This window comes from Homo sapiens, chromosome 14 (assembly GCF_000001405.40).
Source record: "Homo sapiens chromosome 14, GRCh38.p14 Primary Assembly".
In the NCBI taxonomy this organism is placed as follows: Eukaryota; Metazoa; Chordata; class Mammalia; order Primates; family Hominidae; genus Homo; species Homo sapiens.
This window is the reverse complement of record NC_000014.9, coordinates 94,759,940-94,774,171: the sequence shown is the minus strand read 5'-3', so window position 1 is coordinate 94,774,171 and position 14,232 is coordinate 94,759,940. Positions and strand designations below refer to the sequence as shown.

Here is a 14,232-nt window from a genome sequence, read left to right as displayed (position 1 = left end):
GCATTTGCGCCTCTGGCTCTACTCCACCCACCCAACCTCACACGGACAATCCCCTGGGGCTACCGGAGATGTCCTCCAGAAAGCAGCAGAGCCATGGAACGGGGTTTGAGCACTTAGCTTTGAGACTGGATTTTTTAAAAGTCCCAATACAAACAACACAACCATTCCGCTCAGTGAGGACGGCTGAGGTCTCGGCGCAGCACGCGGGCTGCAGGGGGCTCTGCGCATTGCTCCTAATTCCTCTGACCCCGCTAATGCGCCCTCCGATGAGGGCTCCGTACCTTGAAAAGGACACACCGGCTTTTTGCACATGACACGAAAAATCCGACTTAAACGCATCCGATTGTGAACTCTGCTCTGTGGCCGGGCAGGAGACGGAGAGAATTAAGAAAGTTCCTGAAACGAACCGTAAGAAGTTGGGGTCGAAGATGCATTATTTTTTTACAGTTATGCGGAATGGGGTGTAAGGATAGTGGGGCGACAGTTTTCTCCCTGACAAAAATACCTTGGGGCGGGAGAAGATACTCACACGCATACTCCAAAGTTGGACACTGTTTTAAATCAGAGAAGCAATTTAATCTACACTCTATGAATCAATTTAGTGATGACCGCAGTGCAAAAGCGCCGTGACAGATGCCGAACGGCAAATAGACCTTATGCATGTGGAATCCGCTGAGCTATTCTTTAATATCTTAAAAATGAGGACTATTACTGGGGCGAGTGACTCCTCAACAAACACATTTTCATAGACTTCTGCGTGGTGATTGCTTTGTGTGAAATCGTGTTTGGGTGATAATAGGGAAAATCAGCGGCATGTTTACTGCATTTCCGACCTAAGCGCTCGCCGGCTGCCTCTGGACGCTCGCGGTCCTCCCATGCTGAGCTGTGCGTGCGGGGCCGACAAACAATCGCTTAGCAACACGAGGTGGACAATTTGCGTGCGTCGCATTTGTTATTCCAATTGCGCCAGGCGATGCGGGGCCCTGATGGTTTGTTTAGCACGTTGAGGACACTTGTGAGTTTCCGCCCGCCGAGGCGCAGTGCGAGCACCGAGCGCCGACTGCCTTTCCCGGGGCCTGCCTCCGCGCGGCTGCAGATTGAAGGGGCAACCCGATGGGGGAGGTCCCGCCGCGCAGGGGTGAGCTCCCCTAGAGCTCCGGCAGAGTGTCTGGAGCTGTGTGGCCTTGGGGTTCCTGTGACCCCCTTCCCGGAAAGTCCCCTCTGCGGCAGCACTCGCTTTTCCTTATTTTAGACCCAGCTGATGTAGGAACCCTGTCCTTGTCTGGGGGCGGAGGTGGGGACAGCACACTCCTTTGTCTCAATGAAAAATAAACAAGAAAATGCCCCCAAGTTCATCCCCAACCTCCTTGGCGAACGGATGACAATTACCAAGTCTCATTAAATGTTAGGGTTGCAAAGGGACCCAATGAATGTTGGTGTTGGTTTGATCAACTAAAATCCTGAGGCCTCCAGAGAAGGGATGATTTGCAAGGTGGCAAGGTTGGGTCTGCAACTCTGACGCTCAGATTCTGTACAGGGCTCAGCTGGTACAGCGGAGGGCTGCAGGAAAGCACAGGCGCAGTATAGCAGTTTGCTAAACCTGGTTATTAAAAAGAACAATGTTCCAGGTGGAAGGGGAGACGGAGGGGTGTGTGGAGGTGGTTGTCTGATACTTTTAAAAACATGGAGACACTTTTTTTAGGTCTGCGGTTGAAATCTTGACACTCTCCTGATTTGGCATCTTTGCAAGAACAGGACGAGGAATCTGCCCCAAGCGTCAGGTGGCACTTGTGCCTCTGCCCGGCTCAGACAAAGGTCTTAAAAGATCCACTCACACGCGCACCGCAGCGCACACCCAGCCTCCAACACAAACGCAGGCAGTCACTGATAAGTTGCAGCCTCTAGTTGTCGTCCATCAACTGCCCTGTAGCTTTAAACCTGGGAAAGATTGGTGGGGGAGTATCTGCCCTGGAGCATGGTGACTTAAGTCTCTGAGAACGGAACAACAATAAAAAAGACTTCATCCTAGTCAGTGGGAGATGGAAGGTGCCTCACTTCTTACCCTAGACCTGACCTCTCTAAGGGGAGGGTCACACTCCCTCTTTGTTTTTATTGTTAAAAAAGAAAAAAAGGAAAACTCTATTCACTTCCCCAAATTGAGACCCATCTCCGTCATGTCCTAATCCCCATTTACAACCACCTCTAGTTTGCGCAGCACTGGAAGGAGCAACTCTCAGGCCACAAGCTGGTGGCCGTGAGGACACAGAGGTCCACGCTGGGAGGCCTAGGAGGAGAAACGTCGCCGCCTGGCTCCACTGGGCCGCTTCTGCGCGCCGCCACAGTAGTGCCCTCGGACAGGACTAAACCTCCGTGCAATGGCTCTTTGAAACCCGAACAGAAATTGACAAGTGGGCTTTCCCCTTTGCCCCTGAGCCGGGGAGTGGGCAGCCCACTTACTTAGCCTTACGGCGGCGACTTCAGACAACTTTGCGGGGTCCCTTGGTTAATTAGCCTGAGAGAAATCGCGAAAAATAGGTGTGAGTTAAAGGCGGACTTCCTTCAGGAAACCCGAGGTCTCCCGCAACCCCATCTCCCTCTCCGGCTCTCGGGGGTATCGCCTGGGTCGGGTACTGCCCCTTCCCCTGGAGTGGCCTGAGTTGCAAGCCGGGAGCTTGCACCCGGTCCACAGGATCTGGGGGACTGCTTTTGTTCCGCGCGTACCGTCGCCTACCTTCTCGAAGGGCGCTCGGCCGCCTGCTTGCCGTGAGTGGTGGGCTGGCTGCGCCTCCCGTGGCTCGGGCAGGCTGGCCGTGCCATGCCGAGAATCCCGCAAATCATCGCGGCCGCCTGCCGCTATCAGACCCGGCCATCGTCCAGGCCACTGCGGCCCAGGGAATCCACTCTGGGCCTGCCAGGCGGAAGGGCAGGCCTACCGGCAGCCAGCAGGTCGTAAGGAAAAATGCGACCCAATTATTGGGGAAGAAGATAGGGAAGTCCCAAAGACCCCATCTGGATTGAAAATCAAAAAAATAGTTTGGGAGAGAAGGCACCACATTTCCAAAACTAATTTTTTAAAAGCACAAAAACTACCGACACCCACGCTGGGAGCAGCTAGAAGCACCGCTTCAGACTGCAACTCTTGGTGGCGAATTTTAAAGAGCGGCTGAATTTGGTCTTCGCTGTGTAGGACCTAGGGACTGCCATGGTAGTTTTCAGACCCAGAGTGGCTGGAAAAAAAAATCTTTTTAAGAAGCACGATGCACCCCTCCTTTAGTCGTTTTTGCCTTTACAAAATTTGGATTTTACAAAACCAAAAGTTTTTTGGGGGGGTTAACAAGTTCCATTCGGGAGAGAAACTCAAGATTTAAAAAAGAGGTAAATCAGGCGGTGAGTACGTGGGGGCGCGGAGGAGTGGTGGAATTTTCAATCCTGCTTGAGAGGGGATGCAGCCCCTCACATTTTCTAAAACAAAACCAATTCCGAAAGGGGGAAAAAAGTAGCCCCAAAGTAAAATCGTCCACAATGAATTTGAGCTACAGGCAGAGGAAATCGCACCCAATAATAGGACCCAATCTGAGAAAAAAGGGTGGGGGTGGAGAGCTCGGGCGGAGGGAGTTGTTAACTGCGGCGGCACAAAGGAATTAATGAGATTAACCAAGGCAATTAGGCCGCCCGCCCAGCTCGGCCGGCCCGCGGCCCGGCTGCCGAATGGAAAAGATTAGGTTAATTTCATTAATTCGCAATCCACAATCTCTTTTCAGGCCTTGTAACCCCCTCCCCTTGGCACCTCTCCCCCTCCCCCCAACCCTCTTCCCCCACCCAAAGGAAAAGAAAGGGCCAAATCTGGTTCTGTTTGTCATCTGCATATTACCAGGAACTAAATCCAGGATGACGTCGACTCAGTATAAAACCAACAAGAGGTTCAGCTGGTCTGAGCTCCGTCCTACCCGCGGGTTGAGTTCAGCGAACGCTGCGGCTAGGGGAGGGCGGGAGGAGGGAGAGCGGACGCAGGGGGCGGGGAGGGGCGCAGGGCTGCGCGCTCGCCGGCGCTCTCTTTCGGTTTGGTCGGCGGCTGGAGGAGAGTGGACCCCCCCACTTTAAGGCTCTGTCCTCGGCGCGTTCCCGCCGCCCCCCGGTCCCGACGCGGGGCTCGGGGATGCCCGCCAGCATGTTCAGCATCGACAACATCCTAGCCGCCCGGCCGCGCTGCAAGGACTCGGTGTTGCCGGTGGCGCACAGCGCGGCGGCTCCCGTCGTCTTCCCGGCCCTGCACGGGGACTCGCTCTACGGCGCCAGCGGCGGCGCCTCCTCGGACTATGGCGCCTTCTACCCGCGCCCCGTGGCCCCCGGCGGCGCGGGCCTCCCGGCCGCGGTCAGCGGCTCCCGCCTCGGCTACAACAACTACTTCTACGGGCAGCTGCACGTGCAGGCGGCGCCCGTGGGCCCGGCCTGCTGCGGGGCCGTGCCGCCGCTGGGCGCCCAGCAGTGCTCCTGCGTCCCGACGCCCCCAGGTAGGGTCGCGCTCGCTCCGGCCTCTGCCGCCCACTGCGGTCCTTAGCCCATGGAGCCGGTTGGTTAATTCACCTTCCTCAAACTTTGCTCCTCTTGCAACTCCCCCCTCCGCTTTTGCCGATCGGGCGCAGGAGTTTGCAAACTTCTTGCTGCAAACTTTTGGCCAGAGTTCGCGAAAACTGGAATTCAGTGCCTGCCCGGGGAAACTGGGTTTTGTTTTGTTTTGTTTTGTTTTGAATTCTCTTACTGGCTTTGGCGGGTGTGCGGATGGATGCTCTAACACGCCTCCTCCTTTTCCCTGCACCCCTGATTCCCGTGCACCCCCAATTCTCAGCATCCCCTTGCAGACGACTTCTAAGTGGAAGAGGGTCGGGGGCTGGCGGGCGTGCATGCGTGCGGTGGCGAGGGCGGGCGGCTGACCGTGCGCCCCACTCTGTCGCAGGCTACGAGGGCCCCGGTTCGGTGCTGGTGTCCCCGGTACCGCACCAGATGCTGCCCTACATGAACGTGGGCACGCTGTCGCGCACCGAGCTGCAGCTTCTCAACCAGCTGCACTGTCGGCGGAAGCGGCGGCACCGCACCATCTTCACTGACGAGCAGCTCGAAGCTCTCGAGAACCTCTTCCAGGAGACCAAGTACCCGGACGTGGGCACGCGCGAGCAGCTGGCCCGGAAAGTGCACCTCCGCGAGGAGAAAGTGGAGGTAGGCGCCGGGGCCTGCCGTGGGCGCCTAGCGGTCCTTCCCCGCGAGGTGGGGCCCCAGTCGGGTTTGCCCAGCCCTGCTTGGCTCTCCCCGCACTTTAAAAACATCCCGATGGCGGCCCGCAGGCTGCTGGAGGGCGCTTTAGGCCCAGGAAGTTGAATGAAAACGCGGAAGCGGGAGCGAGCGGCTCCCCTCCTTTTGTTGGCCTGCGCGGGGTGTCCCGCCGCCACACCAAGCTCCCCGGGTGCCCCGGGACTGGGGGAAGCGCGCCTTTGATCTGAACTGTTTTGTCCTCCGTTGCGCAACAGGTCTGGTTTAAGAACCGCCGCGCCAAATGGAGGCGGCAGAAGCGGTCCTCATCAGAGGAGTCGGAGAACGCGGAGAAGTGGAACAAGACGTCGTCGTCGAAGGCGTCACCGGAGAAGAGGGAAGAGGAAGGTAAAAGCGATTTGGACTCGGACAGCTGACGGCCGCGGGACACTTGCCCGTATTACTTACCTAACTCGAAGGACTTGCACAGACAGACGATGCTACTTTCTTGCACACGCGCTGCCTTGCGGGAGGGGGTCGAGAAAGAGGAACGAGGAGCTGTAAATAGTGTACAGAGCCGGGAGGGTCGGCGTCTGGGGTCAGGGCGCGCACAGCCCAGCAGCCCGAGGCCGCCCGCGACTAGCCCCCACCGTAGTATTTATAGTTAAATTAAGGGTGACAGTACAATAAAGTGATGGCGATGTAGACGGGCCACATTCTGTATTTCATACCCCCCGCCCCACCCACCCACCACCATCAGTCTGGAGCCAAGAAAAGAAGTCTATGTAGTCCGTAACCTCCGGAGGAAAAAACTGAGCAGCTATGATCTACCTAAACAAACAAACAAACAAGAAATGAAGCTCTGGGTAACAGTCACAGCATGGGTGTCCTGGTTTAAAAGGAAACCTTATGTCTAGGAAGGTTTGGAGAGTAGCATTGCTGGGCCAGAGCCGGGAGGAGGTACCATTGCAGTTGAGAGGGGCAGCCTGGGTCCCTGACTCCCCTCTGCCGAGGGCAGAAGGAGCACTTCTTCCCTCACTGATGAGGTGGGAGCTAGGGGAGTCCGGGAGCTCCCACGGAGCCCACTGCTCCAAGCTGCTCAGCCCTGCTTCTGAGAAACCTAAGGCGGCGGGTCCACGGGGGAATTAGGCAGCGGGCATGCCACCTCCCCCAGCGCTTTCCTGGAACTTCCACAGATGCTCCAGCTGCCCAGCTCCACATGCGAGTTGCCTCTTCCCCCAGGGCAAGCGTTTCTGCTCTGGCATTTCTGAGCTGTGCGCCCTAGGGCTGACCGGGACCAGGTGCTGCTCCCTGGGCATCTGGAGTGACCAGGGCCGCACGTGATGCACTCAAGGCCAGTCTTGTCTAAGAGCGCACCGCTGGTGGGGTCACTTCTAGGTGGCAGTACCGACACCTCCTGCTTCTTCCCCAGACTGTCTTTCCTCTGCACCAGCTGGGCGGAGAAGGGAGCTCCCGGGAACGCGCCCAGAGCGCTGGTGAGCAGTTTATGAACGATTGGAGAAGGCCCCCGGTGCGCATGAGCGCCTGGGCCAGGGATGAAGACAAGAGCCTGCCCTCTGTATGGTTTCCCAGGCCGTCGTGGGGATGAAAGTGGAGACTAAGGGCCAGCAGGAATGGCTTTCAACTTTCTTCGGTTTACCATTTTATAGACTTAAAGCTAAGGCTTAGAGAGCTTTCCAGCTTGGCTTCCGGCAACGGCCGGCTGCAGGGATTTGTTCTTTCTCTTGGGCTACCTCGGGTATTTGGTGCAAGATCCCTCCAGAGAAAGGTTGTGCATCCTGGCTTTGGGACACAGCACGTGAAAAGTAACAGTACTTTAGAAGAAGCAGTGTGTTTGTTCACAGCTTGCAGATTTGCAAGGTAAAAATGACTCCTATGGTGGGTAGCTGGCAAAATGATACCTATGAAATAAGAGTGACCACCCATTACCGCCTTTTTAATAAGCGCTATCCCTAGACAAAAGAGAGGCAGTGTTTTGGAGGCCGGGTCTGCCTCAGGGGGCGAGATTGCCTTGGTTCTTATCCAGACTTCATTTTGTGACCTTGGGCAAGTTACTTAACCCCTATGACCCCTCGCCTTCCGTAACTAAAATAGGCATGGTCATAGTGTCTGTTTCCCAGGGTGGCTGTGGACGTTAAAGGCCCCAGCTTACATAGAATGGCACCTGGCATAAGGGAATCCTTCAACACAACTTTTTTTTTTAATATTATGATTTATATTGTGTCAGACCCAATACTTCAGGATTTATATACATTATCTTATTTTACCTTTCAAGAACTCTTAAGAGTAGGGGAATGTTTTCACCATTTTACAGATGAGGAAATTAAGGTTCTGAAAGGTTAAATGCTTTAACAACCTATAGCTTGTAAGAAATAAAGAGGAGACATCATCTTTGCCCAAGTGAGTCTTGTACCATAATTGGAAATGTTTTCATTAACAGTTCTTATGAGAAATATGCAAAGAAGCCTTTATGTTAATTTCAAATGAATTTTGCAATGGCTATTAATGTACCTCCTGCTTAGAATTTCAGGGTGGGAGGACCTTGCCTGGCTTGCACCCTCTGCTTCCCAATAGTTGATGTTCTTGGATGGTGTCCTCTGTGCCATTGGAATGAGCCTGCAGGGACATCTGGAACATTCTAATGTAAGGCAGAGCAGGCAATGTCATTCCACCCAGAGAATTTATTTTTATTTTTTTTGAGTCGGAGCCTCGATCCGTTGCCCAGGCTGGTGTGCAGTGGTGCAATCTCGGCTCACTGCAACCTCCACCTCCCAGGTTCAAGTATTCTCCCATCTCAGCCTCCCAAGTGGCTGGGATTACAGGCATGAGCCACCATGCCTGGCCAATTTTTTTGTATTTTTAGTAGAGACAGGGTTTTACCATGTTGGCCAGGCTGGTCTCGAACTCCTGACCTCAAGTGATCCACCAGCCTCAGCCTCCCCAAATGCTGAGATTACAGGCATGAGCCACAGGGCCCGGCCCCACCCAGAGAAATTTGACCTCTGCAGGACTATTTATAAACTCCTGTGTGTCTCTTTGCACATGACTTGCCCTCAGGCCCTCAATAAAAGATGATTGTTCATTTTTCTAAAAATCTGCATTTATCTAGTCTGGAAAGAGGTCTATAGCAAGTGACAGGGGCAGGGGAATTGAGGAGGGATAGATCTTTGTCCCCTATTAGTGTTTGGTGAAAAGCTGTGGTGAATGGAGGGAAGAGTGGTCCAAGAGCCAGAGAGCTCTCCTGTCTTGGCCCGGGGCAGGTGCAAGGTGGCAGGAGAAAGCTCCTTCACTATCCACATCTCCTCATCAGAATCCCCTGTGAAGTGTTTCAGGATTGGCCCCGTTCATAGGAAATAAACATATCTGGAGTGAAGAGAGAACTGCCAGGATGGTCTAATTATAGTCCCCCCACCCACCTTCCCAGACGGCCATGGGGCTCAAACCTCTGTCAGCTTGGCTGTCCGTGTTAGGAAGGGCTGGATGGGGTCACGGAGCAAAAGGTACTTCGGCTTCGAGAGCCCCCATTGGCTGAGCTGTGGGCCTTAGTAGTTTTCTTCAGTGGGAATTTGGGTTATGGTGCTGATAGGTAGTGTGTATACGTGTTAAAGTGGGCAATGTGTAAGCCAGGTGACTTTGCTTTAGTTATTTCCAATCTGAACCCCTGCTGCCAGACCACAAAGGTGTTTTGCCCATTTCATAGTTGAGTAAACTGAGGCACAAAGCTAACACAAAGGGGTTTCCAACTGTGGTCGGCAAGGGACTAGCTTTTGTGATTGCTATAAATCAGGCTGCCTCACAGAATCTGGGCTGTTCTTTTGGGTGGCAATATAAACCCATAAACCCTATATAAAAGTTCACCTACAGCAAATGGCCACAGGAGTGAAAGCAGTTGCCCCTGGGGGATGTAAACTTGAATCTCACAAAGTGCCAGACACAGTCTAGCAAAGAACAGTTAGGACAATTGTAACCCCTAATATGAGTCTAGCACTTTTCACTGCAAAGCCCTTCCGCACGCATCTCAGGCCCTCAGGAGGCAGAATGCAGCCTAGTTTGCACATGGAAGATGGAGGCTCAGAGAGACTCAAAGCTTTGCCGGGAAGAAATCATAAGCCCTGGACCCCGAACCTCGGCGGACTTCCCACACACCTCTTAAGATGGTGGAGAGGTATGAGGTAATGGCTTCCAGGTGTCTCAGGTCATCTGGGCCAAGGGGGACCCTGGCTGGAAGGAGCAGAAGAGTAAGAGGAAAAGTGCAGGGTGTGCGGGAAGAAATGGGGAATCTGAGGTTCTGAGAGCCCCCATGGAGGGTGCATTGTAGCTGCTGTTAGCAGTCTGCTGGGCACTGGCTGGGGGAAGGTCATGAAAACAATTGCTTTACAAAGAGCATCCACAGAAAGTGTATTTGAATTACAGTTCTTTAATCAAGTTGTTTTACTGACATTGGAACTTTGACCTAAGGGTTTTAACCCTCGTGTAAAGGACATCTTTTTTTTTTTTCTTTTTTTTTTGAGACAGACTCTCACTCCGTTGCCCAGGCTAGAATGCAGTGGTGCGATCTCAGCTCACTGCAACCTCCGCCTCCTGGATTCAAGTGATTCTTGTGTCTCAGCCACCTGAGTAGCTAGGACTACAGGCATACACCACCGTGCCCAGCTAATTTTTTTGTATTTTTAGTAGAGACGGGGCTTCGCCATGCTGGCCAGGCTGGTCTTGAACTCCTGACCTCAGGTGATCCATCCACTTCGGCCTCCCAAAGTGCTGGGATTACAGGCGTGAGCCATCATGCCTGGCGTAAAGGACATCATTTCAATGTGTATATGTGAGACTGAAGTGGGCAGATTCTTCTTTCATTTCTTTGTGTGTGTGTGTTGGTGAGGGGAGGGCAATGGGAGCCAGGAGGTAGGGGTGACAGGGAGCTCTTTTTCTGAGTTGTATGAGGTTTTAAGTGACTCAAGTAAAATAGTTTAGACACCAAGACCCTTGTACCCAAATATACCTTGCTGTGCTGGCCTTCTGACCCCAAGGTCTGTACCTCAGGTCCCCCAAGTTTACTACACACCTCCTTAAGTAAAAAACAGGAGTGCAGATGCAGACTTCCGACCTTGGGGAGGCTAGGGCAACATGTTGTGGTGAGTGGACAGCTGGTGGCTGGCCTTTAGAACCACACTGGGCCAAGCGTCCGTGTGGATGGGGTCACATACTCACCGAGTGACCTGGGACAGGTTCCTTCAGCTCTGAGTCTATCAGATTCCTTCCTCACCTGCAAAATGGGCTTGGGTAGAGGATTAGGGATTATGGAAGTAAAGAACCCAGCAGAGTGTCTGACACATTTATCATTGTAGGTTTTGAAAAACACTTTCAGATCGGTTGGATAACATCCTGCATAAGTAGACTGGAATTAGGAATTGAGGAATGCACCTTGTTTTTAATTGTTGTTGGTTTAGGAGCTTATGCATGACCACAGGACGCAAACTCTAACGAAATTAAATGTGATTGCCATGGATTTAAAACAAGAGAACATCTGATAAGGCATAATAGCTTTGCATTCTCTCGGAGAGGTTTAGGACAAGGAGATTTAGATGAAGAAGGAGAAAATTTGGAGTGGATTGGGATTCGATTTCCAAGGTTTGGGAAATGACCTTGATGTTTTTCAGACACAAAATGAAAACAAAACCCAGCCGCTGGTGCAGAGTCCCTTGAAAGCTCTGGATCCGGCTGGGTCTGTTAGCTGTTGGAACTTCTCGCTTGTCAAGGGGACATAACACATCCCTAGGGCTTGTCCCTAGAGCTGTGTGACAACACAGAAAACTTCTGTTTGTCCCGGCTTGGTTTTAAATCTGGGAAAAATAAAAAGCATTGTCTTTGCAGTCTGAGTGACCCATCGAACAAACAGGATGAATTATGGCATGTTGCGGTATTTTCAAGTGGGTCTATAATTTTTGGATTCCAGCAGCCTTCATTTGTTCTCCAGTGTCCAGCCCTGGGAAGCTTCAGTGAGGAAAGATCTTAAGAATTCCTCTCCCAACCCCTCCCCTCTCCTTAAGAGTTTGTTCCATTTGTACCTTCTGTTTTCCCAATTTTGAGGTCCTTCAAAGTCTGTCGAAATCAAGTGGCCAGGTTTAATTGAGTGAACTGCACTTCGCCCGTTGCCTGCAATGCCCTCTCTTAACCTAAGCTGATTTATAGAAACTATAATTAGTGAGATAATTTTAGCTATGATGGACAGAGTTGAAAAGTGTCCTTATCGCTTCCTCACTGATTTACTAGTTGTTTAATGCTGAGCCCGGGAAAGACTTCGACCCTGTTGCATGATCAGCTAGGCTGACCTCAGACAAGGCCGCTGCAGCTTCAGGAGACAGATTCTCTTTGTGGAACCCAGGAAGGCTGATCTCCTCAACATGAAGGCTGATCTCCTTCTCAAAATGAACATTCTGTCCCCTGGCTATTTTCTTGCTCCCAACTCTCAGAACTAACACACAGTAACTTGTTTATATTTTTTTTTCTTCTTTGGGGGGATAGGTGGGAAATCTCTGACTAATATGGAATTTTCACAGAAAATACCTGTGTTGTCTAGCAGCCTGCAGTGAGTAACATGGTTGTGGCCACAGGTGTGCCATCCCAAACAGGATGCACACAGCACAGCGGCAGTGATCTCACGTGGCTACGGGGCCTCCTGGGGAACTGACATTCTGGCAGGGTGTTCTGCTCCAGAGCAGGAGCTTGCAGGCTTGTTGGGGCCGGTGGGGAGGAATGTGGTTTCAGAAGCCCACACCGCCAGGTGGAGGGCTCAGTGCAGACAGCCTTGGGGCCAGTGTGTGTCTGAATCGCACAGGGCAGTGTTTGACCAGCCTCACGGTGATGGTGCCCGCTTTAATCGTGTCCCAAAAAAATTATTGCCATCATCCAGCGAGGCCAAGAGACATTTCTTTCCAGTTGGAATATGGCCAACCCTCCTTTGAAAATCCTCAAAGTGCAAACTGTGGAATCAGAAAAAGAAAACTACCCTTCTCCAAGAAACAGGGAGGCCCTACGCACTTGGCACGTCCCCTTCTGTGAGAAAGACTCAGCGTTCTGGAGTTGGATTCCCAGCTGTTGCTTCATCTGAAGATGTTCAGACCACTACGGAGGCCAGATGGCTGGGACATTAGAGGGTGCACATGTTCATCATTGTTTTGTACTTGAGAAATAAATATTTAAACCTGAAACCAAGTGGATCACTTTCTACTGAAGTGGGTGTTGAGTATCCCCACCCGGTCCTAAGCATAACCCCAGCTCGCATGATTCCCATCACACTCAGAACCTTCAAAGAGGTTGTCCCCCTCCACTGGTGCAGGGGCCCAGGAACGTGATGATGCTTCATCTATTTTGGGGTTGTTTTTCTTCGAGTCAGCTTTTGTCACAAGAGGACTCCCGATGTGAATGGGCTGAAGTGGAGAACTGGGCCCTCTGCCTTTGGCTCGATGAGACCGCCTGTATTTGTTTTGGTTCTTGCCTTTGTGGTAACTGGTCACAGATATACATGTGAGCGGATGAAAACTTAACCCTTTTCTTTACTGCAATTAAAGCTCTGAAAATATTGTAGATCTTCATGGTTTATTTTTGTCTTTATAGGAGATGTACATGTATAGTTTCCTTTTAAAAAGATGGAAAACAGGTCAGGCATGGTGACTCACACCTGTAATCTCAGCACTTTGGGAGGCTGAGGTGGGAGGATCGCTTCAACCCAGGAGTTCAAGACCAGTATAGGCAATGTGGAGATACCACCATGGTCCCTACAAAAAATACAAAATTTAGCCAGGTCTTGTGGCATGCACTTGTAGTCCTAGCTACTCAGGAGGCTAAGGTGGGAGGATTGCTTGAGTCTGGGAGGTGGAGGCTGCAGTGAGCTATGATTGCACCACTGCACTCCAGCCTGGGTGACAGAAAAAGACCCTGTCTCAAAATAGATGGAAAATATTTTCTGCAACACTGGAGTGTGTTGTAAAGAATGTACTTCACATTTGTTCAGGGATTGACGGTTCAGAATCATTTTCTTGGGTACATCCTACTCTGATCCCCTCTACAGTCTTATGAGGTAGAGGGATAGGGCCACTGTCACCTTGTTATGTAGTAACAGTTACTGCAATAGCTTTTACTGTGTCCAGCACTGGTTTTTTATCATCTGCATTTTATTTAATCTTGTCCCTGCATCTATGAGGTTGGCATTATTGTTGCCATTTTGCAAAAGATAGGATTGGTTCTTGGACTCCAAGTCCAGTGCTCTTTCTATACTGCTTGACTATATCCCTTAATAAGGACCAGCCAGGAGGTCTGAATTCAAATTCATGCCTGGTGATCACCAGCAAGCAATGTGACCTTTGAGTTTCAGCCCCTTCTTTCCAAAATGAGAAAATCATAGCTGGCTTGTGGTTAAAATGGGGTGGTTAAAGTCTAACATTATAATTCCTCATAAAATGTAAAAATTACCTGGGGTACCAGATGTGGTGGGTCACACCTGTAATCCCAGTACTTTGGGAGGCCAAGGTGGGAGAATCCAGCCTGGGCAACATAGTAAGACCCCCATCTGTACAAAAATAAAAATAAAAAATTAGCTGGGCACAGTGGCACACACCTGTATTTCCAGCTACTTGGAAGGCTGAGGCAGGAGGATCACTTGAACCTGGGAGGTCGAGGCTGCAGTGAGCTGTGTTCTCACTACACTCTGGCCTGGGTGAGAGAGTGAGACCCTGTCTCAAAGAAAAATTACCTGGGGTTTTGCAAATACAAATGATTAATCGTGGTAAATATATCAACACATTAAAAATAGTCATAAGCATATAATGAAACAAAATATTTTTTGAAGATCTTCAACAACAATAGTAGTAATAATAATGATCTCCATTTAGCAGACAAACATTAAAAAGGTGCCTAGTCTATGTCAGATACTGTTCTAGATGCTAGAGATACAACCTCTGCCCTCATGGAGTT

The 14,232-nt window shown here is 51.3% G+C and overlaps 1 protein-coding gene and 1 long non-coding RNA gene across 2 annotated transcripts, besides 1 other annotated feature; one reads left to right on the top strand and one right to left on the bottom strand.

The window, feature by feature from the left end:
• Positions 565-3,530, bottom strand: GSC-DT (GSC divergent transcript). The gene is made up of 2 exons (NR_144432.1): positions 2,732-3,530; positions 565-1,991 (listed from the first exon to the last, which is right to left on the bottom strand). It is a non-coding gene; the product is annotated as a GSC divergent transcript (long non-coding RNA).
• GSC (goosecoid homeobox) lies at positions 4,059-5,949 on the top strand. Its single transcript, NM_173849.3, has 3 exons — positions 4,059-4,511; positions 4,955-5,214; positions 5,523-5,949. Exons 1-3 carry the CDS (start codon positions 4,157-4,159, stop codon positions 5,679-5,681), a joined length of 774 nt encoding a protein of 257 aa, NP_776248.1. The 5' UTR covers positions 4,059-4,156; the 3' UTR covers positions 5,682-5,949.
• Positions 5,958-6,496: an enhancer, noted in NCBI's record as "H3K4me1 hESC enhancer chr14:95234013-95234551 (GRCh37/hg19 assembly coordinates)". NCBI's record gives its function as "activates a minimal SCP1, AML or CMV promoter by ChIP-STARR-seq in primed H9 embryonic stem cells {active_cell/tissue: H9 hESC(primed)}" and the evidence as "EXISTENCE:reporter gene assay evidence [ECO:0000049][PMID:30033119]".